General features: G+C 51.4%; 1 protein-coding gene across 13 annotated transcripts in view, besides 7 other annotated features; it reads right to left on the reverse strand.

The window, feature by feature from the left end:
- Positions 1 to 2,282: 2,282 nt before the first annotated feature.
- Positions 2,283 to 23,904, reverse strand: part of MGLL (monoglyceride lipase) — a 134,120-nt gene continuing 112,498 nt past the window's right edge. For 9 of the 13 annotated variants that reach the window (NM_001003794.3, NM_001388313.1, NM_001388317.1 and 6 more), the window contains 3 exons: positions 23,793 to 23,882; positions 8,192 to 8,407; positions 2,283 to 5,540 (listed from right to left, as the gene is read on the reverse strand). In NM_001003794.3, the coding sequence (NP_001003794.1) occupies positions 5,415 to 5,540; positions 8,192 to 8,407; positions 23,793 to 23,882 (432 nt within the window). In that variant the 3' untranslated portion in view covers positions 2,283 to 5,414. Of the gene's footprint in view, positions 5,541 to 8,006; positions 8,408 to 23,792; positions 23,883 to 23,904 lie in introns of those variants that run through there. The other 4 variants (NM_001388316.1, NM_001256585.2, XM_047447384.1 and 1 more) reach the window with 2 other exon arrangements.
- Positions 2,419 to 2,924: an enhancer, noted in NCBI's record as "H3K4me1 hESC enhancer chr3:127408045-127408550 (GRCh37/hg19 assembly coordinates)". NCBI's record gives its function as "activates a minimal SCP1, AML or CMV promoter by ChIP-STARR-seq in naive H9 embryonic stem cells {active_cell/tissue: H9 hESC(naive)}" and the evidence as "EXISTENCE:reporter gene assay evidence [ECO:0000049][PMID:30033119]".
- Positions 2,925 to 3,430: an enhancer, noted in NCBI's record as "H3K27ac-H3K4me1 hESC enhancer chr3:127408551-127409056 (GRCh37/hg19 assembly coordinates)". NCBI's record gives its function as "activates a minimal SCP1, AML or CMV promoter by ChIP-STARR-seq in naive H9 embryonic stem cells {active_cell/tissue: H9 hESC(naive)}" and the evidence as "EXISTENCE:reporter gene assay evidence [ECO:0000049][PMID:30033119]".
- Positions 15,087 to 15,834: an enhancer, noted in NCBI's record as "H3K27ac-H3K4me1 hESC enhancer chr3:127420713-127421460 (GRCh37/hg19 assembly coordinates)". NCBI's record gives its function as "activates a minimal SCP1, AML or CMV promoter by ChIP-STARR-seq in naive H9 embryonic stem cells {active_cell/tissue: H9 hESC(naive)}" and the evidence as "EXISTENCE:reporter gene assay evidence [ECO:0000049][PMID:30033119]".
- Positions 15,835 to 16,580: an enhancer, noted in NCBI's record as "H3K27ac-H3K4me1 hESC enhancer chr3:127421461-127422206 (GRCh37/hg19 assembly coordinates)". NCBI's record gives its function as "activates a minimal SCP1, AML or CMV promoter by ChIP-STARR-seq in primed H9 embryonic stem cells {active_cell/tissue: H9 hESC(primed)}" and the evidence as "EXISTENCE:reporter gene assay evidence [ECO:0000049][PMID:30033119]".
- Positions 16,143 to 16,437: an enhancer, noted in NCBI's record as "tiled region #5176; K562 Activating DNase matched - State 8:EnhW". NCBI's record gives its function as "activates a minimal TATA promoter and a strong SV40 promoter by Sharpr-MPRA in K562 cells {active_cell/tissue: K562}" and the evidence as "EXISTENCE:reporter gene assay evidence [ECO:0000049][PMID:27701403]".
- Positions 19,652 to 20,152: an enhancer, noted in NCBI's record as "H3K4me1 hESC enhancer chr3:127425278-127425778 (GRCh37/hg19 assembly coordinates)". NCBI's record gives its function as "activates a minimal SCP1, AML or CMV promoter by ChIP-STARR-seq in primed H9 embryonic stem cells {active_cell/tissue: H9 hESC(primed)}" and the evidence as "EXISTENCE:reporter gene assay evidence [ECO:0000049][PMID:30033119]".
- Positions 20,369 to 20,512: a silencer, noted in NCBI's record as "fragment chr3:127425995-127426138 (GRCh37/hg19 assembly coordinates)". NCBI's record gives its function as "represses an EF-1alpha promoter that drives an FKBP-Casp9 reporter gene in an ReSE screen in HepG2 liver carcinoma cells {active_cell/tissue: HepG2}" and the evidence as "EXISTENCE:reporter gene assay evidence [ECO:0000049][PMID:32094911]".

Consider the following 23,904-nt stretch of genomic DNA (forward strand, 5'->3'; position numbering starts at 1 on the left):
TCCCTCACCACTCATTCCTTCATTCATTCATCCCCTCACTCATTCCCTCATTCACTCACTCATTCTCTCATTTATTCATCCCCCACTCATTCACTCATCCATTCATTCACCCACTCATTCCCTCATTCATTCATCCCTTCACTCATCCATTCATTCACTCATTTCCTCACTCATCCATTCTCTCACTCGTTCATTCATTCATTCTCTCACTCATTTCCTTACTCATCCATTCTCTCACTCACTCGTTCACTCATTCCTTCATTCTCTCACTCATTTCCTCATCCATCCATTCCCTCATCACACATTCCCTCACTCACCCATTCCCTCATTTATTCATCCCCTCACTCATTCACTTATTTATTCTATTTCTTCACTTATTCATTCCCTCACTCATTCATTCTCTCAGTCATTCATCAGTCATTTCCTCACCCACTCATTCCCTCAATTCATCCCCTCATTCGCTTTCATTCATTCACTCATTTCCTCACTCACTCATTCCCTCATTCATTCACTCATCACTCATTCCCTCATTCATCCATTCTCTCACTCATTCCCTCACTCATTCATTTTCTCACTCATTCCCTCACTCTTGTTCCTTCATTCATTCATCCCCTCATTCACTCATGATCTCACTCATTCATACCCACACTCATCCATTCTCACTCACTCCCTCATCACTCATTCCTTCATTCATCCCCACTCATTCTCACTCATTCCTTCATTCATTAATTCCTTCCCTCATTCATTTCCCTCATTCATTCACTCCTTTCGTCATTCATCCATTCTCATTCCCTCACCACTTATTCCTTCATTCATTCATCCCCATTCACTTACTCATTCTTCTCACTCACTCATTTCCTCAGTCATTCATTCACTAATTTCCTCATTCATTCCCTTGCTCATTCATTCACTCCCTCATTCCCTCACTCACTTATTCCCTCATTCATTCACTCACTTATTCATTCATTCCCTTGCTCATTCATTCACTCACTCATTTCCTCACTCATTCAATCCATCATGCATTCATTTTCTCACTCATTCATTCACTCACTTGCACAGTCCCTCACTCACTCATGTCAGTGCACTTTTTACATTTTTCTCCTTCAAAGAGAAACCAGAGAGATAATATGGGGCTATGGTAGGCGCTCTCTGTGGGGACCTGGGCTCAGCACCTGAGCCTTCACCTGCCCTGCATGGGATGGGGGTTTGGCTCCTCCTGAGAGAGAGGATAAAGAGAACACATCATTCCATCACTCACTCATTCATTCACTCACTCACCCACTCCTTCCCTCCCTGCCCTATCAGGCAGGCCTTTCCAGGGACCCTCTGGGAAGCAGGCAGAGGTGTAGTGCAGGGATATGCCCTTTTGCAGCTCACAAGGGAGGGGACAGAGTGCTACCAAGCAGACAAGCAGAAGATCTGTCATGTCAGATGTCAACAAGTGTGCTGGAGGAGGAGAAGGCAGGGCAGCACCTGGGGGAGGGCCTCACTGAGAAGACAGCCCGTGAGGAGGCTGGCATGGTGAGGACTGAGTGGATGTGGAGGATGGGGAGAGGGGAGGCAAGGAGGCCAAAGGCCCAGCACCTATAGGCCTCAGCAAGAACCGTGGCCTTTATTTAGGTGAGATGGTAGTCACCGGAGGATGTTAAGCAGAGAAGGGCCACAGTCTGACTCATACTTTAACAGCCCTCTCGCCTCCGTGTGGAAACAGACTGGGTGCAGGAGAGAAAGCGGGGCCTGCCAAGGAGGCTGCTGCTGCCATCCCTCAGACGCTGGTGACAGCTGTGCAGCTGGAAGGAAGCCATATAATCCTGGCCACACTTAGGAGGAGAGTGGCTGGGCCACGTGTGGGTATAGAATGGAGAGGGGCTGGAGGATGCCCAGCAGCAGGAGGCCGGGTTCCCTATGCTGAGGAGGGAGGGCTGAGTCCGGACAGAGCCCAGCTTGTGTGGGGATGGGTTTGGCATCTATATGGGGCCCTGGAGAAAGCACAAGCCACCTGAAGCTGGCACGGGGAGGGTGGCCTGGGCTCCGTCCTCCCCAGTGGCGGGGCAGGGTCTGCGAGAGGATGTGTGTGTTTAGAAATCTGCTCCAAGCGTGGATGGGAGAAGATAAACTCCACACACGCTGATGGAGGCTGGGAAGCACTGCTGGAGTTGGTATCAGGTGACAGGCATGGCTCAGGCAGGGATCAGCCTGTCTAAAAAAGGGCCTGCTGTGCTCTCAGCAAGGAAGATTGCCATCCAGGGTCAGAGGCTACTGTGATGGACAGACAGACGCCATTCCGAAAACATCGGATTTATTAGGATTAGCTGTAGTGTACACTGATTCCTTTAGCTCTAAATGGATACATATGTGCCCCGCAGACAGTATACACGCAGGGATGTGACTGAGCCACAGTGACATAGCAAACCCAACAGCTGGCTTGTGAAGCCATCGTGATCCCAACAAGGTCTATGTTAGCAATTGGTGAAAGAAGAAGAGAGTGAGATGGGACCCAGGTGGGCCTGGAGGTGGGATCCTGTGGGTTTTCAGAGCACCCACCAGTGCTCCCTCGGTGAGCCCAGCACCACCTGGAAGTGGAGGGAAGCTGGGTCGCTGCTGGAAGGGAGGGAGGCTGACTCTCTACCCCTCACCTCTGCAAGGAACTGAGGCCTGTAGGGTTGCGGCTGTCACTGGCTACAGGCGGCATCTTTCTGTAAAAAGCTTTTCAGGCATGAAACCCATTTCTGTATGGACTGGGCTGTGTTGACGGTGGTGCTTGGGCCTTGTGTGCCAGGCCTCTCTGGGTCCCCTCCCTGGCCTTTGCCTTCCTCTCACCTTCTCGAGGCCAAGCTGTGCGAGACCTGGCATTCCTTCCAAACCTCAGTTCCTCCACGCCCCTGCGCTGGTGTGACTCCAGAGCTCAGAATGTCAGCACGGAGCCGTCAGTATCGAGAAGGAACTCAACGCAAGGCTTCACAGCTTTCCAAGGACAGGGACCGGCTCTGGAGTGGCCGTGCGTGAGATGTCAGGCACGCTCACACGCAGGGTCCTGTGTTGGCTCCTGACCCAGCAGGGGGACATGGTGGGCGGATGTACCAGCCCTTCTGGATAACATGACAGTCCCAATTTCAGGAAAGTTTTTATTTTAAATATTGGTGATTCTTTAACCAGGAATGCAAATGCTACTGAAGTGCTGTGTGTGTCTCTGTGAGAGCCTTCATATAAATAAATTCATGCATCTAAAGAGTCCCTGGTCAGGCCGCATGCTGATATTCAATTTGGGGAATGGTGATGCCACCACATGCATCTGGGGGAGGCAGCAGGGAGGCGTAGGGACTTTGTGTGGCCTGCTCTATCACAGCTCCTGGGAGAATTACAGATCTGAGCCCAGGGCATCTCTGGGCTTTTGGAAAGGGTTCCTGCTTTTCCTGAGTTCCCATGGCTGCCCTGCTGCCGGGGCTGACTAAGCAGGCGGGGCTGGCTTTCTCAGTGCATATTTTACATTTTTCTCCTTCAAAGAGAAGCCAGGGAGACAAGCTGGAGCTACAGAAGGTGCTCTGTGGGGACTTGGGCCGGGTCAGCAACCAAGCCCCCACCTGCCCCTTGTGGGGTGAGGGCTTGGCTCCTCCCCCAGGGCACAGAGTGATCTTCAGCAGGGTGACCCGTTCCTGGCTCTCATGGTGTGATCAGGGCTGCTGGAGGGAGGGTGGAGGGGCACACTCTCCAGGAACCAAGGTTAGCCTCCAGAACAGGGCCTGGGAGAGCAGTGGCAGTTCCCGCTGCTGGAGGAAGAAGGGCGGGAGCCCCTGAGGCCTAGACTTCATGTTGGGGGTCCTGGTGGGAAGTGGCCTCTCCTCTGTGGCCCCAGAACCCCTACATTGCACCTTCTGCAGGGCTTCAACGGTGGCAAAGCCCTGACCAGGGTCATATTTGCACTAAGGAGCCTCCTGAGGTAACAGCAAGTCCCATTTAGAAGGGGAAAGTATTCCCGAGGCGGGTGGTGAACCCCACTTATTGCTGGGAAAAAGTGAGGCCAAGGGCAGGGCTGGGGTGGTATTGGCACCTGAGAAGGGCAGGCTAGGCCCAGGGCCTCAGCTCTGAATGATTGGCTGATGCCAGCCTTGGCCTTGGGTGAGGCCTGTCCCGGCCTGTCCTGCTGTGGCCTGGGGCAGGGCTGGGGGTGCCTCCAGTCCCTGCTCTGGGTCACCGAGTGCTCCATGCAGACCTGGACAGGAAGGCCTGGCCTGCTGCTGTGCTGGGCCTCTCTTCTCCTGCCACCAGAGGTAGCTGTGCTGCTAGCACTGACACTCCCAGGGTAGCTCTGGGCCATAGGCAGGCCCAGGCCCAGGCCTAGGGATCATAGCCCCATAGGGTGCCACTGCTCCATGGTCCCTGGTGGGCAGGAAGAGCACTGGGCCTTGCCCATAGGAAAGGCCCAGCCAAGTCCCCTCTCGGGGGCTGCTGGCTTAGCTCCTAGAGCACAGAGCCCTCTGGCCCCACCACTGCCGGCCCAACCTGTCCAGTTCTGTACAGTAGCATCAAGCTCTGATTCCCTCAAACTCCCCTTGCTCCCTCCCACCTATCCACCAAAATAGTCTCTGCTTTAAAATATACATTATATATTAGACATTTCATCTTCAATATGATTCTCTCATAGCATCAGGTAAAATTAGTGACTCTAGAGGAAAGGCAGCCTTTGTGAGTACAGGCGGCACTCGGGGACCAACCTGAGCCTCCCCCTGGCAGGAGGGGAAGGGCAGGGGACAGAGAAGAGCCTTGGTTTCCTGCTCAGTTCTCCTTCTGGGCTAAGCCTCACCCCCCGCCCCTCTGCAAAGCCTGGTCTCAGGCTAACAAGGAGCCCACAAAGTCATGGGTGGCTGCTCATTTTGAGGAAGGGCTGGGCATTTTCTGAGCCTCAGAGGGGCACGTGAGTCTGCCCTGGGGAGCTGGCCCCTATGGAGACAGCAACCACCTCATCACACGGCCAGAGGAAGGCCACCAAGCGGAGGCTGGTCAGAGAGGGCGCTGGGGCGTGAGCGAAGGGTGGGCAGGAAGGAGGCGCCTCCAGTTATTGCAGTCTGGTGTCCTGGGAACACCAGGAATTCCTGGAACCCTTGTGGGAGCTGGGAGAGGCAGGGCAGAGGCTTGGCTTTGTTTTCAGTGGACATTTTAGCACATTCTTTGTGGAAAATCACCTGGGACCTTTCTCTTTTTTTGCATAAAGTGTCTAACCATTAAGGTAGGTCCAGTGTCTGATAGTCTAATGTATAACAAAAATGTCTGTTATTTTTTAGAAAATTGTGCTAAGGATTTCTCCAATTTCTGATTTTTTTTTTTTTTTTTTTTTGGCAAGCCATATCTGAGAAGCCATCTCTGCCCTTCCCCTGCCTGCATCCCCCAGACCATGAGCCGGGCACCGGCCAATGCATTCAGGGTGGGGACGCAGTTCCTGCCGTGGCTGTCCTTTGAGAGACCCACATGTTTATTTCATGGAAGACGGAGTTGGTGACTTCAGGAAGCTCCTTGTGGAGAACATGGTAGGCACCTTCATAAATCTGCAATGAGGAGAGACACGGAATCAGAGCTGCACCATCAGAGGCAGGTGCAGGGAGCGGAGACCGTGGGCAGTGGGCAGGGGTCTGCAGCATTCTCCGGACCCTCTCCCTATGCCCGAGGACCTGGCCCTGACCTCCCATTATTAGGAGGCCAACACCTTTCTATCAGAAGATGGTTCAAATGTGTTACAATGTCCCAGTGTGTTCTCGAACTTCCTTTCTCAAATGCAAACCTTCCCTCACTCCACATCTCTCCCCATCCCTGGACCCGTTTCTGTGTCTCTGAGTCAGGCAACCTTCTCAAAAGAGGGGGTTCCACTCCCGGCCTCACATCCTGACCTCCACGGGGTCCTCAGCTCATCCCAAGCCGACTTCCACTCCCGCCAACCCACGGTGGCTAGCCTGGCGAGGTCTCCAGGGACCTCCATTGCTGTGGCAGGGGACACTGTGCTGGTCATTCATAAGCTGCTCACTGTCACCTTCTAGAAACACTTTCCTCTTGTGGTTCCATGGCTTTAACTTTTGATTTTCTTTCAACCTAGCCGGCAGATCCTTCTCAGTCCAGGCTCACCCCACCCACTGGCCTCTGCAGGCGGCTGGACTACGGGCTTGGCTGTGCCCTCCTTCACTCTCCCTGGTCACCTTGTCCAGTCCAGTGGTTTTAAAATCCATCCTGGGCTGATGACTCCGGAATTTACATCTCCAGCCAGACTTCCCTTCTGCCTCTAGACTGCCGACCTGCCATCTCCATCCGAATTTCTGGCAGGGACCTCCAGACTTCAGTGCGACGCTAATGGGCATCTCCAGGTGGACTCCAGCCGTTGCTCACGTCAGTCTCTCTGCCTGGCGTTTCCGGTCTCATTACAGCCTCCTCATTACTGCAAGCCCAAACCCAGGGGTCGTCCTTCATGACAGTGATCTCACTCTCTGCCACCCTGCCTGGCTTGACCTGCCTTGGTTGTCACTGTCTCCTACCTCCTCCTTACCCCAGCTCCTGTCTTCCCAAGGCCACGGGGGGATGCTTTTAAAATGAAAATCACAGCACGTCACTCCTTGGCTTGAAATGCTCATGTGGCTTCTCATCTAACCAAGAGAAGAAGTTTAGACTTCACAGGTGGTGGGGCTCCCCTGCCCCCCGCCACCAGCGTCCCTGACTGGTGCATCCTCACTGGCTGCTCTTCTTATGGCTGCGTGCCTATGCCAGCCTCAGGTCCTCAATCTCTCTCTTGCCTCAGTCTGGAAGGTTCTTCCACTGGCTCTTCTCACCAACAGACTGCAGGCCTGGCTGTCCCATCTAAAGTGCTGCTTTCCCCCTGTCCCCCTCTATGCCTACACTACACTCTGCTGAGTTTCCTTAGGGGCACCGACTCCTCTCCATCATCATCCGTTTCATTTATTTGCTCATCCCACCAGGATACAGGTTCCGGGGGGGCAGGGCAGAGCCTTTGCCTGTCTTGTTCTCTGGGCCTGACAGAAACTTAGGGCCCCATAAATACTTGAATTAAAGAAGCAATGAATGGATAGCTGGGTAAATGAATGAATAAACAATCTTAGCGGACTCCTTTCGCAGGGACTTGGCAAGGGTTCACATTGGTGTAAGGGCGGTCTCAGTGATGCTCTCATGGATGAATGCAGTGTTCCACTGTGGCTTTTAAAAAATATATTTTGCTGGGTGAGGTGGCTCACGCCTGCAATCCCAGCACTTTGGGAGGCCAAGGCAGGTGGATCACCTGAGGTCAGGAGTGAGACCAACCTGGTCAACATGATGAAACCCCATCTGTACTAAAAATACAAAAATTAGCCGGGCAGGGTGGCAGGCGCCTGTAATCCCAGCTACTCAGGGGGCTGAGGCAGCAGAATCACTTGAACCTGGGAGGCAGAGGTTGCTGTGAGCCGAGATGGCGCCGCTGCACTCCAGCCTGGGTGACAGAGGGATACTCTGTCTGAAAAAAAAAAAAAAAAAATATATATATATATATATATATGTATGTGTGTATATATATATGTGTATATATATGTATGTGTATATATATGTGTATATATATGTATGTATATATATGTGTGTATATATATGTATGTGTGTATATATATGTGTGTGTGTATATATATATAGTCTTGCTGTCTAATATTCCACATAACCAAGCCGCAGGGCCTGTCCTCAGGGCCCCTGTCTGCAGAGCTAGCTCTGGCAGCTCCCTTCACGGATCAGGCTCTGCCAAGTCCTGCCAGCACCTGTGTGCCCTGAGCCCTCTGGTGGCCATGGCTCCCGAGCTACTGCAGCTACCACTGGTGCAGAGGGAGGCTTGGGCATCACACGTGTCCTTGGAGCTTGGACATGTCTCTCTCTCAGGAGATTTTATTTGCTCAGTGCCCAGTTGCAGATTCCTTTCTTGCCTATAACATCTTTTGATTGTTCTTCTTCCCTTTGAGGCTTATTCATGCAAAACAATCAGCAAATGACTCGTGTTCTCTTGAAATTCATAGGCTCCTGGGATTCCTTTTATTTATTTATTTCTCGGTCAAGCAGGCTGGTCCCTATCCTGAGACCTGGGAGGTGGCCCTCGAGGGTCTGGGCAGATGTGCCCCAAGGGGTGCTGCCTTCCTGTCCCCCCTCCACCTTGGGGGGAAGTGGGCAAGTGGCAGCCGCTCACCTTGAGAGTCTTGTCCTGGCTCTTGGCTAACTCCATGAGCAGGTAGGCCCCTTTGCTGTCACATAGGCGATCGGCAGAGCCCTGGAGCAGCAGGAAGGGCACAGTCAGCTTGGGGAGGGCGCGCTCCACCCGTGAGACGGCATTCAGCAGTTGGATGCCGAAGCACACCTTCAGCCCTGCCCGGCAGATCAGGGGGTCTGAGTTATAAATGTCGACCTGGAGGAAGAAGGAGAGGGTTCCATCAGCATGGGCAGGGCTCACTTCCATAAGCCAGGCCTATTTCCTGGTAGCTTTTCCTTCTGCTCTGGCCTGAAGGGTTGATTCCATTCAGGTCAGCTGGGCTTGGGCATGGCTCTGAAGGCCAGCCGTGTTCATCCACAAACCTCATCTGCACCACTGGCAGTGCCTCTCCTTTCAGGCTTGAGGGTTTCACATACACATGGGTGCCTGTAGAAAATGTCAAGTATTGGCCAGGTGTGGTGGCTCATGCCTGTAATCCCAGAACTTTGGGAAGCTGAGGCGGGCGGATCACCTGAGGTCAGGAGTTCAAGACCAGCCTGACCAACATGGTGAAACCACGTCTGTATGGGATTTTTTGTATTTTTGTAAAAATACAAAAACTAGCTGGGCGTGGTGGTGGGCACCTGTAATCCCAGCTACTTGGGAGGCTGAGGTGGGAGAATCCCTTGAACCTGGGAGGCGGACTTTGCAGTGAGCCAAGATGGCGCCACTGCACTCTAGCCTAGGCGACAGAGCAAGACTCCGTCTCAAAAAAAAATTAAAAAAAACGAAAGTTTCAAGTATTAATTTGTATTTTAAAAAATATAAGCAGCAGCATATTGTTCACATCAATTATTTTATTAAAAAGTAGCTCTGCAGCAGTTTTAGCACTTGATTTTTGTTCTCTGTCTCTGCTGATTTGGTGTCCACCTGGTGGAAGTGGATGAGGGGCAAACAGTAAACTGCAGGAACAGTTTACTGGGTTCTGTGCTGGAAAGCGAGGGCCCATGCTAGGAGCCCCTGGAGGGGCTTCGGCCAGGCACTGACAATGGGCTTTGGGGTGAGGGACGCCCAAGGGTGGGTCTGGCTGGGGTGGGCTCGGCCTCCGTGCCCCTCAGGGCTACACAGGGTGGTCAGACGCCCTGACAGGCTGTGCCCAAGGCCAACTCTCCCCCTCTACGGGATGTGGGTCCTCTCTCCTCAACCACCACCCTGTGGATCTTGCCTTTCAAGGGGCTGCTCTCTCCCCTGTCCTTGCTCTCCCTGGCCTGTCTGGGTTTCTGGCTTCACTCTTCCTGCCTCCATAAAGACAGCTCAGGCTCCACTGCCCTGATCTCTCTAGCATCTGCCCTACAGGATCGGGGAGAAGTTTCTAGGAATCTCTCAGGCCCATAGAGGGCAGGAGTGAGCCCCTGATGCTTCTTTTTTTTTTTTTTTTTTTTTTTTTTTTTTTTTTTGAGACGGAGTCTCCCTCTGTCACCCAGGCTGGAGTGCAGTGATACGATCTTGGCTCGCTGCAGCCTCTGCCTCCAGGGTTCAAGTGATTCTGCTACCTCAGCTTCCCAGGTAGCTGGGATTATAGGCGCCGGCCATCACACCCAGCTAATTTTTGTATTTTTAGTACAGACGGGGTTTTGCCATGTTGGTCAGGCTGGTCTCAAACTCCTGACCTCAGGTGATCCACCCGCCTCGGCCTCCCAAAGTGCTGGGATTATAGGCATGAGCTACCGCGCCCGGCCCCATGATGCTTCTTCATTCATGTTTGTCATCCTTGCCAGTGGGTTCTTGGTGGGTTGGGGAGGGGCCACGTGGTGAGGACTGGGTGAGGGTCAGAGAGCATGTGGGGACGAGGAAGGAACATGCTGCCAGCTGCTCCCCGGGCAACCAGGGTGCCCACTGTGCTAGGACTCAGCATTTCCAAGAACTGAGCTACACCCCTTCTGCTGCCACCCCTACAAGGCCTCGGCCAGAATTCTGGACCACACCAAGTGGGAGAGGCTGTCCTGCAGTCACCCCTGCCATCCCTGGATTCCTTCCCATGCTGGGGACTGAGCACCAAAAACCAGACCATTTGTGTAAATCCACACGAGACAGATTAGCCACTTCCTGCAGCTGAGCTGGCATGAGTCCTGCTGGGCCGGGCCATCTGCTCGGAGCCTGAGAGGACACGGGACTGGCAGGGCAGTTCATGGGGGCCCATGGCCAGGCCCAACCACAGGGGGTGCTTCCCCAGGGTCAGCCAGGAGCCCTGAGGGAAGGAGGGCTGTAGGGCCCGCAAAAGAGCCTGGGGCTTGGAGTCACCAACAGCAGCGCCATCTACCAGCCTGTGCAGGGCTGCGACATGCAGGGTCTCATTGAGTAATAAAAGTAATAATAGCTACATCTGAGCTCTGGCTGTCTGCCCGGCACTAAGTGTTTTTGCATGCAGTAACTCACTGGGCCTCCATAACTCCCCTGTATGAGGAATTGCTCTCATTCTCTCCACTACACAGAGGAGGAAACTAAGGCACAGAGAGGCTTGTCAACCTGCCTGCTGTTAGTTGCCCCAATTCTTGTTCTGCCCTACAGAACCTTGATGTTTCCTTCGGTACACAACTGCTCAGAATAGAGACTACATTTCCCAGTCTCCCTTGCAGCTAGGTGTGGTCACATGACCACGTTCTGGCCAATAGAAAGCAGGCAGGGGCTGTGTGCACATTCTGGGTTGACGGCTTATTTTCTCCTTGCCCCACAGAAAGAGTCAGGGCCGTGTGGACAAGGTTCGCCCCTGGAAGCTAGAGCAACAAGATGGGTGTCCTGATGCCAAGAAGTCACCCCCTCTCTTGGTTAAGCTGCTGTTGTTGGGGGTATGGGTTCCAGCAGGCTGGCGGTGCCCTGGGCTGGGCCACCACCCCATCCCATGCTGTCTCCAGGGCTCCCATGGGACCTGTGGGGTGGGGGCCACACCCTCGCCCCTGTTGCTAGCGATGTCTTACAACCACCTTCTTCCTGCAGCAGGCCTGCTGCTTTGCCCCGCTGACCCCAAGTGTCCTGGGCACAGCAGGCGCTCGGGGACTCTGCTTCTGAGTTTAATTGCACTGACGGCCCAAGCGGCTTCCTGCTCTTGGCTTCGTTTTCCATGTCTTGATCACGTAGGCCCTGTTTACACAATGGCCTATTCTGGGCCTGGGGCCCAGCCACCAGATGTGTCAGAGAAAGAGCAGGCCCCTGATGTGAACCACAGCCTGGACCGGAGGTGAGGGGCAGAGGGAAACTGGGACCAGGAGGTTGGGGAGGGCTGTACCACATGGGGAGACTGAGGCACAGAGGGGCCAAACCCTCCCCTCAAGTGGCAGTTCTGGCACAAGCACAATGGCCTTGATTTTTTGACAGCTTAAGATCTCAATCCACCAAAAGTCCTAGGAATGTGGCTTGTGGCTCCCAGGAAGGAGATAGCCAGGCCCCTTCCTCCCAAACCAGGCCCAAGCCCAGAACATGAGCCCATTCATTCAATAGGGACCAGAGTCAGTCCCCAAATATTCCACACTGCATGATTCCACTGATGTAATGTTCTTCACGTGACAAAACTAGAGAAACAGAGACCAGACTCACGGCTCTCAGGGCTGAGGAGGGTGTGGGGCGAGTGGGGAGGGGATGCAGCTGCAAAAGGGCAACATGAGGGGTCCTTGTGGGGATGGAGCCATCTGTGACTTGACTGTGTCAAGGTCAGTATCCTGGTTGTGATATTGTCCTGTCGTTTTGCAAAATGTCACTGCTGGGGGAAACTGGGTAATGGGTACATGGAATCGCTCTGTATTATTTCTTATAGCTGCTTGTGAGTTACAGTGATCTTAAATGAAAAATTTAACTAAGAACAAGTAACAAAGGCCCAGGCTTTGGCACAGTCTCTCACACCGCCACCTTCCTGTTTGGCTCACCATGGCTCCCACCAGCTGAGACCAGGGTCTGCTGGGGACATGGCAGCTGGAAGCAGGAGCCCAAGCTGGGGACCCAGGTCCAAGTGACCACCCCCACCATGGCTCTAGATAACTGATTTCCTGGGGAGCCCCCACTGGCTGAGAGTTGAAGTCTTTTTTTCCCCGGGGTGGGGGTTGGGAGTATGGTAAGGCTCTACGCCTTCCTGGGCCTCAGTTTCCCCATCAGGGGACCCCAAAGCCTCCTCTTGGGTTTTAAGTTTCACAAGCTGGCCTCCTGTTGAGCTTGACAGCCAGGAATATACCAGCTGGGTCTTCTGAATTTCCAGCACTGTCTCTCTGTGGGAAGAAACTTTGCACTGAAGTACAGTAAATACAGCTGCAATCCTCAGCTGGGAGTTTTCTTACACTTACGTTTGAGCAAAATCTAGACACAACCCCTGCAGTCAAATCTCTTGACCCATTTTTTTTTTAAATTGTTCCATGATGAAATGCAATATCAGAGTTTAATTAGAATACTATGAAAAATAACTAATGCGTGGAGCCCTTGACTCTTTACTAGGTGCTGTAGTAAGTGCTTCACTCGCACTTGCTCATTTAATCTTCACAGGAACCCTGTGATGTAGGAACTATTATTATTACCTTTTTACATATGAGGAGACAAGCTCAGAGAGGTTAGATGACTCACCCAAGGTTACACAGCAAGAGGCAGAGCCAAGGTAAGAACCTAGGCACTCTGCCACTGCCATCAGCATTCTTAGCCACTTACCATGCTCTGCTGCCTGTCTCGAGAGGAGAAGGTGAAGGTCAGTGCTGGGGCATAGACAGCCAGGAGCTATGCAGGTGGCAGGGGCACTAGTGCTCTCAGAAAAGGCAGGAATGGTCCCTGATGAGGACCATAAGCAGATGGGCCTGACAGATGGTGAAGTGATCTGGTGGGGCCCAGGGGTTACCGCCCTTCACAGCCAGCCAGAGGGGATAGGGGAGCCCTTCTGGGCACAGACAGGCATGTGCCCTCCTGGATGCACCCCTAATCACAGAGAAATACAACCCAGCAGGCTTCATCCCTGTAGATCTGTCCACAGCTGGCTCTTCCTGCCCCTCCTTCCCTGCAATCTCCTCCCTTTTCCTACGGAAGCGTCACCCTTCCACCTGGGCTTTAGAGCCCATCCTGGAATTCCCACCTTCTTCCTCCATTGTTTAGATCTCTCTTAATCCATCCATTTCCAATACAGGGAACTCGGATAGCCTTCTCTGGCATAATAGAGAAAGAGTGCATGACACTCTACCTGAGTGATCTCTGTGAAATTTAGAAACCTGCAGGAACCCTAACAAAAACTGGCAAGTCTTTGCAGAGACGATGTCCTCATTTCCCACCTTTGTCTTGAATGGCCGGAGACATAATTTGTGGTGGAAAGAGCTGGATGAGAGAATCCTCCTGTGATGGCTTCTGTCTCCCATCACAAACAGCTTTTCAGCCCCTTGCTCTTAGCTTAATTAACATTGTCTACTCCGCTTTCAGGCCTCAGCTCAGCCTTCCCAGACCCCCACAGACTCTGCTGCCCCAAAACCCTTCTCCCATGCCTCACTTGGCCTGGTCTGCAATCAGCACATCTCTTCCCACATGTCTGCCCCACGTGAGGGTCAGGGCTCTGTCTGTCCTGTCCTCTGCATGGCCTGCACGGTGGCTGGCACAGGGGAAGCCTTTGGTAAACTCTGGTGCAATGGATGAATAAGCAAACCATTCCCTAATCCAGCCCAAGAAGTAGCACCTTTGGGTACTGAGAGGCCAGCACAGACCTCACGGCAGCTGGCAACCGCTGGCCACCTGCTGGCCAAGACAGTGTCCACAATGGGAATGAGACTTAGGACCCTCGAAAGGGGAGGCCCTTGTCATTTCATTCAGTGAATGGCCTTTCTGCGTGCACACGTGGAAAGCCCCGATAGCTTGCTTTTGGAGCCGCTTGGCATTGCTTTCCTTCAGTGCATTGTGCTGAACCCCAGGCCTATGGAATATCCTAAACGCAAATAAGAATGTACCGTAGCCTGGGCACGGTGGTGCATGCCTGTAATCCCAGCACTTTGGGAGGACAAGGTGGGCAGATCACTTGGGCCCAGGAATTCAGAACCAGCCTGGGCAACATGGTAAAACCCCATCTCTACAAAAAATACAAAAATTAGCCTGGTATAGTGGTGCACACCTGTAGTCCCAGCTACTGCGGGGGCTGAGGTGGGAGGATTGCTTGGGCCCAAAAGGTGGAGGCTGCAGTGAGCTGAGATCACGCCACTGCACTCCAGCCTGGGCAAGAGAGCGAGACCCTGCCTCCAAAAAAAAAAAAAAAAAAGCCACCACCAACAACAATAGCAACAACAAAAAAAACAACGTCAATGTCCTGTGGAAGTTGGCCTGAATTTGGAACATGCTGAAGGCTGGAAACAGCTGTGCTTGGCGTGGCCATGGCGTGCTTCCTCTCCCACACATTCCCTCCCAAGCCTGTAGCACCCTGGCCACTGCTGTCAGCCCCCAGAGGGCTCACGGCATTGGGTCCCTGTCACGCAGAGATAAGTCCCATTTCAGACTCACAGATCTGTACCTGTCTCCCTCTGTGAAGAACCCTGTGGTGCTTCCCATGGGGGCTGCAGGGCAAAGTCCTAACTTCTTGGTATGGCCTGGGACACCTCCATCCCTGCCCTCCCTTAACACTCCCCACTCCCCTTGACCCCAGGGCCCTTGCACAGCATGTCCCCTCAGCCTTCAGACCCCTTCCTTGGCTGCCTGTGGAGTTTCTCCCTCCCTATCAACCCTCGGCTCAGCTGCCCTTCCTGCAGGCAGCCTTCCCCGGTCCCGTGTGTGTCATCCCCAGACCCCTTTCCTCATGTGCTTGTCGTCTGCACTACAGACTGGCCCCGATATCTCCGTTTCCACCATCCCCTTCCACGGCCTTTCTCTTATCTGCCAGCAACCCTGTTCCTTCTCTTCAAAGCCCAGGTTAAGCATTTCCTCCTGTGGACAGGTGCCCAGACACCCTCGCCAACATCCATGCTTCTCTCCCCAGGCTCCTGTATCTTCACCAGCACCTCCTTCAGTGGGCCTCTCTCAGAGCTGTGATAGCAACAGCTCTCACCTGCTAGGGTCCACACTGTGCTAGGTGGCTGTGCAGTCATCTGGAGGGATCTGAGGAAGGGCAAGACTGAGTGTGGCTTCCAAGGTCACACTGAGGAGATGGAGCGGGGTCCAGACTCAGGTCCTTTTGGAAGCCTGTGCTCTTCCCACTGAGCCTACCGCCTCTTTCCCCTCTGGGCCACTGCAGTTGATGGGCCTGGCTGGCAGGGACAACAGGGCAACTCATGGGGTGTCACAGCCTCCAGCTCTAGCCTGGCTGGAGTGGGAACCCTGAGAAAGTTTGTTGGTGTGGTGAGCTGCCTGCAGGGTGGCAGAGGGGAGATAGGCCCTGCCTGACTCAGCAGAAAGCTTCCCCGGCTCGATAGACCCAAGCAAGCCCTGCCTACCAGGAGGCCTGAGTCCCCACAGTGACCTTACCCTGCCTTGGGCCAGCCCCAGCTGGCGCCCAGCCTCAGTGGCTGAAATTCCTGAACCAGATCAGGGCCATTTGGAAAGAAGATGTTGCTCCACATTCTCCTCTCCTGGAAGCTGCAGTGCCATTTTGGACAGAAAGAGGATAATCAAGGATCAGCCTACAATTCTGAGTTGCCACTTAATCAAGGGTATGCAAATTAATGAGCATTCTTTCCGCCAAATTACTTTTTAGTATGAAGGTTTGAACTCCTGGACATCCTGGCATCTGTTTGTTTGTTTGTTTTTGAGATGGAGTCTCGCTCTTGTCGCCCAGGCTGGAGTGCAGTGGTGCGATCTTGGCTCACTGCAACCTCTGCCTCCCAGGTTCAAATGATTCTCCTGCCTCAGCCTCCCGAGTAGCTGGGATTACAGGCACACGCCACCATGCCCTGCTAATTTTTGTATTTTTAATAAAGACGGGGTTTCACCATGTTGGCCAGGCTGGTCTCGAACTCCTGACCTCAGGTGATCTGCCCACCTCGGCCTCCCAAATTGCTGGGATTACAGGCATGAGCCACCGCGTCCATCCAGCCCTAGCATCCACTTTTAAGAGCAGTGAGGTAGGAATGGCTCTGCAGGTCGCAGCCCCGGCAAATGGGGAGAGCTGTTTGCATAGCCCCGCCCCACCACTGTCTCCTCCCCCAGGATTCCTTCTGCAGGGCTTCAGAGTCTTCACAACCAGAAGTGATGCAAAAAGTCAACCTCTTTCTGTCCTTTGGAATGGAGGGCCCTGGAATGTGGCTCTGAACACAGAAGTGCTCCTAGGTGACCACCAAGGGAAAGGAAAAAGCAGCCACCACATTCTCTGCCTTCTCACAGGCTCAGGGATTTGAGGAATAATAAGAGAAACAAGAAAGAATTCCCAGGTCTTGCAGGACCACTTTCATAACTGCTGATCACAGAACAGCAAAATCATGCAGTCTCAAGTCTTAAATGGTGACAACTGTGGAAACTGGAGCATGGATTAGATCGAGGACAACAAGGGGGAATGACTGTTACTTTTCCTAAATGTGATAATGGCATGGGGTCCTGTGTGAAAGCCTCTGTTTTGAGTCCTTCCTCTTGGGCAACCCAGGCGGAAGTATTCAGGCGCATTCAGGATCGTGGTGTCTGCAGTTTACTTTCACATGGTTCAGCCAAAACAAGGTATCCACTTCATGACATTGGATTTGGCAACAACTTCTTGGATATGACACCAAAAGCACAGGCAACAAAAGAAAAACAGATAAACTGGACTACATCAGAAAGAAAAAAACCCTTATGCTTCAGAGTACATTATCAGCAGAGGGAAAAGGCAGCCCACAGAATAGGAGAAAATACTTGCGAATTATATTTGTATATGTGGTTAATATCCACATAAGGGGTTAATATCCAGAACATATACAGAACTCCTGCAACTTAACAACAAATAACAAACAACCCAATTAGGAAATGAGCAAAGCAAACGATGGGCCAGACAATCCTAGGCAAAAAGAATAAAGCTGGAGGAATCATGCTACCTAACTTCAAACTACATTCCAAGACTACAGTAACCAAAACAGCATGGCACTGGTACACAAACAGACATATAACCAATGGAACAGAATGGAGATCTCAGAAATAAGACTGCATATCTACAACCATCTGATCTTTAACAAACCTGATGAAAACAAGCAATGGGGGAAGGACTCCCTATTTAATAAACAGTGCTGGGAAAACTGGCTAGCCATATGCAGAAAATTTAAACTGGACCCCTTCCTTACACCATATACAAAAATTAACTCAAGGTGGATTAAAGACTTAAATGTAAAACCCAAAACTATAAAATCCCTAGAAGAAAATCTAGGCAATACCATTCAGGACTTAGGCACGGGCAAAGATTTCATGATGAAAATGTCAACACCAAGTGCAACAAAAACAAAAATTAACAAATGGTATCTAATTAAACTAAAGAGCTTCTGCACAGAAAGGGCTTCTGCACAGCAAAAGAAACTATCATTAGAGTGAACAGACAACCTACAGAATAGGAGAAAATTTTTACAATCTATCCACCTGACAAAGGTCTAATATCCAGAATCTACAAGGAATTTAAACAAATTTGCAAGAAAAAAACAACCCCATCAATAATGGGCAAAGGATATGAATAGACACTTTTCAAAAGAAGACATTTATGTGGCCAAGAAACACATGAAAAAAAGCTCAACATCACCGATCATCAGAGAAATGCAAATCAAAACCACAATGAGATACCATCTCACGCCAGTCAGAATGGTGATCATTAAAAAGTCAAGAAACAACAGTTGCTGGTGAGGCTGTGGAGAAATAGGAACACTTTTACATTGTTGGTGAGAATGTAAATTAGTTCAACCATCGTGGAAGACAACAGAAACCCCATTTGACCCAGCAATCCCTTTGGGTATTACTGGGTATACACCCAAAGGAATATAAATCATTCTATTATAAAGATACATGCACACGTATGTTTATTGTAGCACTACTCACAATAGCAAAGACATGGAATCAACCCAAATACCCATCAATGATAGACTGGATAAAGAAAATGTGGTACATATACATCATGGAATACTATGCAGCCATAAAAAGGAACAAGATCATGTCCTTTGCAGGGACGTGGGTGAAGCTGGAAGCCATTATCCTCAGCAAACTAACGCAGGAACTGAAAACCAAACACCACATGTTCTCACTTATAAATGGGAGCTGAACAATGAGAACATATGGACACAGGGAGGGGAACAATACACACTGGGGCCTGTCAGGAGGAGGGGCACGGGGGGAGGGAGAGCATCAGGATAAATAGCTAATGCATGTGGGGCTTAATACCTAGGTGATGGGTTGCTGGGTGCAGTAAACCACCATGGCACATGTTTACCTATGTAACAAACCTGCACATCCTGCGTATGTATCCTGGAACTTAAAATTAAATTAAACTAAAAAAAAAAGAAAAAGAAAAACAATAGACAAGAAATAGGAAAAAGAAAAGAAATGGGCAAAGGATCTGAACAAACATTTCTCTAAAGAAGACATACAAGGTCCCAGTGCAGTGGCTCACACCTGTAATCCCAGCACTTTGGGAGGCTGAGGCGGGCTGATCACCTGAGGTCAGGAGTTCGAGACTAGCCTGACCACCATGGAGAAACCCCGTCTCTACTAAAAATATGAAATTAGCCTGGTGTGGTGGCACGCGCCTGTAATCCCAGCTACTCAGGAGGCTGAGGCAGGAGAATCGCTTGAATCTGGGAGGTGGAGGTTGTGGTAAGCCAAGATCGCGCCACTGCACTCCAGCCTGGGCGACGAGAGAGAAACTCCATCTCAAAAAAAAAAAAAAAGAAGAAGAAGAAGAAGAAGACAACATACAAATATCCAAAAATCACATGAAAAGACACTCAGCATCACTAACCATTAGGGAAATAGAAATCAAAGCCACACTGAGATGCCACTCCATACCCATTAGGATGGCTACTATCAAAAAACACAACCTAACTAGTGTTGGCGAGGATGTAGGGACACTGGAACCCTTGAGCACTGTTGGTGAGAATGTGAAATGGCACAGCCACCGTGGAAAATGGCAGCATGGTTCCTCCAAAATTACCAGCAGAATATGACCCAGCAATCCCACTTCTGGGTACATACATACCCAAAAGAATGGAAGCAGGGTCTGGAGTAGATATCTGCACCGCCACGGGCACAGCAGCGTTATTCACAACAGCTGAGAGGTGTCTTTGAGAGAGCTTTGCCCAGGCTATGTTCCCACGGAAGCCCAACTGAGCCCACATCTTTCTTTCCTCCACTGCCAAGGCCCTACTATGTGCATGTCCCACGTACCCACAAAGGTACTGAGAAAGAAGCTCAGTTGGGCCTGCTGGACACAGAGAACTCCTCAGTGTGTCCTGTATTTTGCTGGCAGCTGTGGCTTCCCTGACAGTCTCTGCAGTCCCTGGTTTTCTGCTGCCATTAAAGCATCATACTTCCAGGATCTGCCTGTCATGAGCTCACAGCCGTTTCTCCCAGCCTTGGTGGCCGGCAGGAGTGGGACTGGGAGCGGGTCCAGAGCTGGAACATCTACAGAGGGTGGTGCAGGGCGCAAAAGCAACGTAGAGCAATTCACACGCTCCCTCGCCACCACCCCACATGGAGCCATATGCCCAAGAGACTTTCTAGTGCCTGTTGTTTTTTTAGGGCATTGGGAAATTTTTAGCTGCAAATACTGGTAATAAGACTGTCTCAAATAGACAAGTATATGCTGTGGGGAATGTAAGTGATGAACGATAGAGAGCCACAGAATAAAATCTGCTAGCCAAACCGAGTTTGCTGGAAGGTTCTTAGCTCGTTCTCGGAGGGAACTCCCGTGGAAGGCTGTGTCCTGGGGACAGTGTGGGAGGCTGAAGCCCATCTTTAGCTGTGGTTACGCTTAAGTCGAAGGCCTCAGCACGGCCGAGCTTTCCAAGACCCGGCAGGAGCCTTCCGAGGGCCTCTGGGCAGCATGGGTGCAGGACAGGCAGGCAACAGGGGGACCTGGAGCCAACTCCTCGACATTGGGCACATCCGAAACACCGGGCAGAGGAGACAAAAAAGGAAGCTGAGTGGCCACTCCTCATGGCTCCCGGGTGCTCAGAACTCAGCATATGGCCTGCCTGAGGGAATATAAACTAGCAGATGCGCAGGAAGGGCCTCCCAGGGTACTTATAAAGAACAGAGACTGGGCTCTAGAAGACAAGTGGCCTCAGGAGATAAGCAGCTGAGGTTCCTAGCACAAGGTGTGCTCAGAATCATGGCCTCTGCCTCCCGCCTCCACCCCTTCCACAGCCTGGGAGAGGAAGCAGTGCATTCCGCCTGAGTATGTGGATGGCTGAGGGCATGGGCAGATGCTGAACAACCTCTCCTCCTCACCTCCTCCCACAGCGTCCTTGGCCATAGAACTCTTTAGAATCACGTTCAAGGCTTCTCAGAGTAGGAAGGGATTCATCACATTCTGATAAAGCCTTTTTGGGGTGGAATGATTACCATGTCAGTATTCTGATGTTCTGATCAGGGACCCTAAATATATTGACAAACATAATAAATGTCTGTGTAGCAACTTCTTTGTTCCCTGGGTTTGAGTGCCAAGGGCACTTGGCCCGGAGTAGCTGTGTTCTTGGGCAAGTGACTTGCCCTTTCTGGGCCCACACTTCTACAACTACAAATGCTGGTAATAAGACTGACTTCCTGGGGTCATGGTGAGACCAGAAGGGCTCTAGTGTCTGGCACAGAAGAATGATGCCATCATTGTGCATTGGGTAGTGTTGAGACAATAAAAAGTCCTCTTATGCCTTTTTTCCTGAAGGCTTCACACATGCGGCGAGAATGTGGCTCTATAGGGTGGCAGCTTTGGGGCGACGCAAGTGAAGAGAGCCCACTAGCAGTCCTGGGTGGGTTGTGAGAATGCTTGTCACAGCAAACACCAAACATTCTGCTTCTGACATTCTGGCAACAGAGCTAACCCGCTTCCCTTCAGACAGAATTCCAGATCTTCCCTGGGGCCTGTGCACTCTTGAGTCCCAGGCCCCTGCACCCTCGATTCCCGGCCAGTGGCCCATCCCCCATAGTCCTGCTCACTCAGCTTCTTAGGCAAACATTTCTTTTTGGTTTGAGGCTTTTATAGCTGCAGGGTTCCATGGGAAATGTCTTAGCTAAAGATGTGCCTCAAGACACCCCGATGTTAGATGCCTTTCCCAACACATTTTCCCCTCAGCGTTGCTATTTTTAAAGCTCAGCAGAACGTTCAGAGGGAGACGCAGAGCTGCGGCAGGCGAGGGAGGGAAAGGCGTGCTCTTGATTTTTCCAACTGCAGTCCAGCCTTGGGGCTGACCGGCCACCTCCCTTCCTCATGTCTTCTCAGCAGGGACATTTATTAGTGTTTCTAAATAACTGATGACCTGGGCAGCCAGAAACCCGAGGCAGGAGGGCTCGGATGGGGGCTGTGGGTGGGGCAGGAACAGAGGAGGGGAGCCCCACCAGGTGCTTCCATCCTGAGTAAGACCGAAGAATTTCTCATTATTGCAAAAAGGAGAGAAAAGATCTGAAATTGGATGCTTTTAAATAGAGAGGGTTTGGAATCTCTTTTTAGTACCTGTTTTTTTCTTCCTCTTTGCCCGTGTATTTTCAGGTGTTCAGATAAACAACGTGGATTTGCACCTGGGTGCTTTGTCTTAAAGGGAGGCCCCTCCCTCCCTGACCCATCTTTCTCAAACCTACTGTTGTCCTGGCACTGCCGCTACAAAGATCACTGGTTTTACCAGACACCACACCTTCAAGCTAGAGCCATTATGAGGGATGCAGGCAGGTGCAGGAGCCCCTGCCCCACACTGAGTTTCCCTGTCAAAGTGGGTCCCGTACAGAGAGCAATGGCCATGGCCATGGGCTGCGTGGACCAGCAATCAATTGTAAAACAGGAAACAGAGCTTAATGACCATAATTACTAGCTAGAGGGAGGCACCAAAGCATGGACTTTTGAATAAAATGGGCTAAAATCCCATCTCTGCCCCTGACTAGTTGTGCAATCTTGAACAGGTTATTTAACCTCTCCAAGCCTCAGTTTCTTCATCTGTGAAATGGGGTTAATGTCGATCTCATTCATGTCAGGATTAAATCAAACAGTGTATATTTGGCTTTGGTCTTTCTGGGTCCTAAAGTTGTGCTCTTTCACTGTATGAATCTGCTTTTTGGAATTAAAGTTTTTTTCCTTTATTCAGATATTCTTTCAGAAAGACCAGGGGCCACACACTGGTCCCTAATGGGTCCAACCTGGCCCCAAGATGTAGGTTTGGGAGGCACTGTGGGCTTTAAAAACCAAATTATATTAGAATTTTAAATTAATGTGGATGGGTTGGATGGATCAGATGCCCTCTGGCTCCACACAGGCCTCATGGCTTGCTAGAATCTCTCACCAGTCTGATTTTTAAGCAGCTGGCCCTCAGAGGCCTAGGAGTTTTCAACCCCTGATCTAGAAAGTCTCTTTCCTACACACCACGGGCTATTCCTCTTGAGTTGCCCACTCTCTAAGTGACTCAGAGGGCCAGAAGGCCACAGTTTATAATGAAGCTAGAGTCCAACAGCCCAAGGAAGTCTGGGAACATCCCCAGAATGCTAGAGCACTGCACTCCACTTCCCAGGGCCCTTTAGGGAGCCAGTGATTCAGTGATTTAGGGAGCCAGTGATTCAATGATTTCAAACTCCTAAAGCAAGAGGGCAACTGAGGCAGAAGAGTGGCAAACTTATTTGCTTAATCATGAAGATAATGCTGGTGTCTTCTGGATGCTTCCTACCCATTAACTGCAAGCCCACTCCCATACCCAGACAGAGCACAGCTGGAGACCACACCTACCCACGTTCCCAGGCTAGCCTCACCACTGGCTGACCCCAAGCAAGTCATCCCACGTTATGGGGCTCAGTTTGCTCATCTGCAATATGGGTCTGTCCTTCCTTTGCTACCACTATTCTGAGTTACCCCCAGGGATCCCCTTCCTCTACTCTCAGTGGGTGGGGATGATACTACCCCCCTTTCCTGGACAAATAATCCAGGCCTGGATAATCAGTCAGTAAGAATCAGCCCTGAGACTTTTGCTGGAAAGAGGTGCTGTTTTTCCACTGGGGTTGCTCAGGTAAACCTGCTGGTGGCCCTCTTGGCCTTCACTGGGGGAAAGCCTGTCTGGGAATGAAGCCAAACCAGGGGAGATGAAAGCTGGGAAGAGACCGATGGAGAATAAGACTTTCAACGCCCTGGATCCAGCCATGTCTGAAGCCTTCAGTTCCATTCACCACAAAATCCCTGCTTTTGCTTAAATCACTTTGATGTAGGTTTCTGTCTCTTGCAACCAAGAGACTTGACTGGCACACACTCAACTTCCACTGTTGGCTCCTTTCATGTTTAGAACACAGCTCAGGCATCATAGCCAACCCACCCTTTTCACCCAAACCTGAAGCCAACCATGTCTAATGCACCACTGTGTCCTTGTCACTTTGCACAGGGCCTCGGTGAAAGGGCAGCAGAGAATGCCAAGGCTGGAGCCAAAACTCTGATTCCCCATGGGGGCAGCCACCCAAGCTACCCCTGGGGTTTCGGAAAGCCTCTCACCTCTGTCTTATTCCGAGAGAGCACGCTGGAGTCGATGGGCCCGAGGGACAAGTTTGGCAGCACAAGGTTGAGCACTTTCGCAGCAAGGACCTAGCCGGGGAGGGAAAACAAG

The sequence above is a fragment of the Homo sapiens genome, chromosome 3 (assembly GCF_000001405.40).
Source record: "Homo sapiens chromosome 3, GRCh38.p14 Primary Assembly".
Classification (NCBI taxonomy): Eukaryota; Metazoa; Chordata; class Mammalia; order Primates; family Hominidae; genus Homo; species Homo sapiens.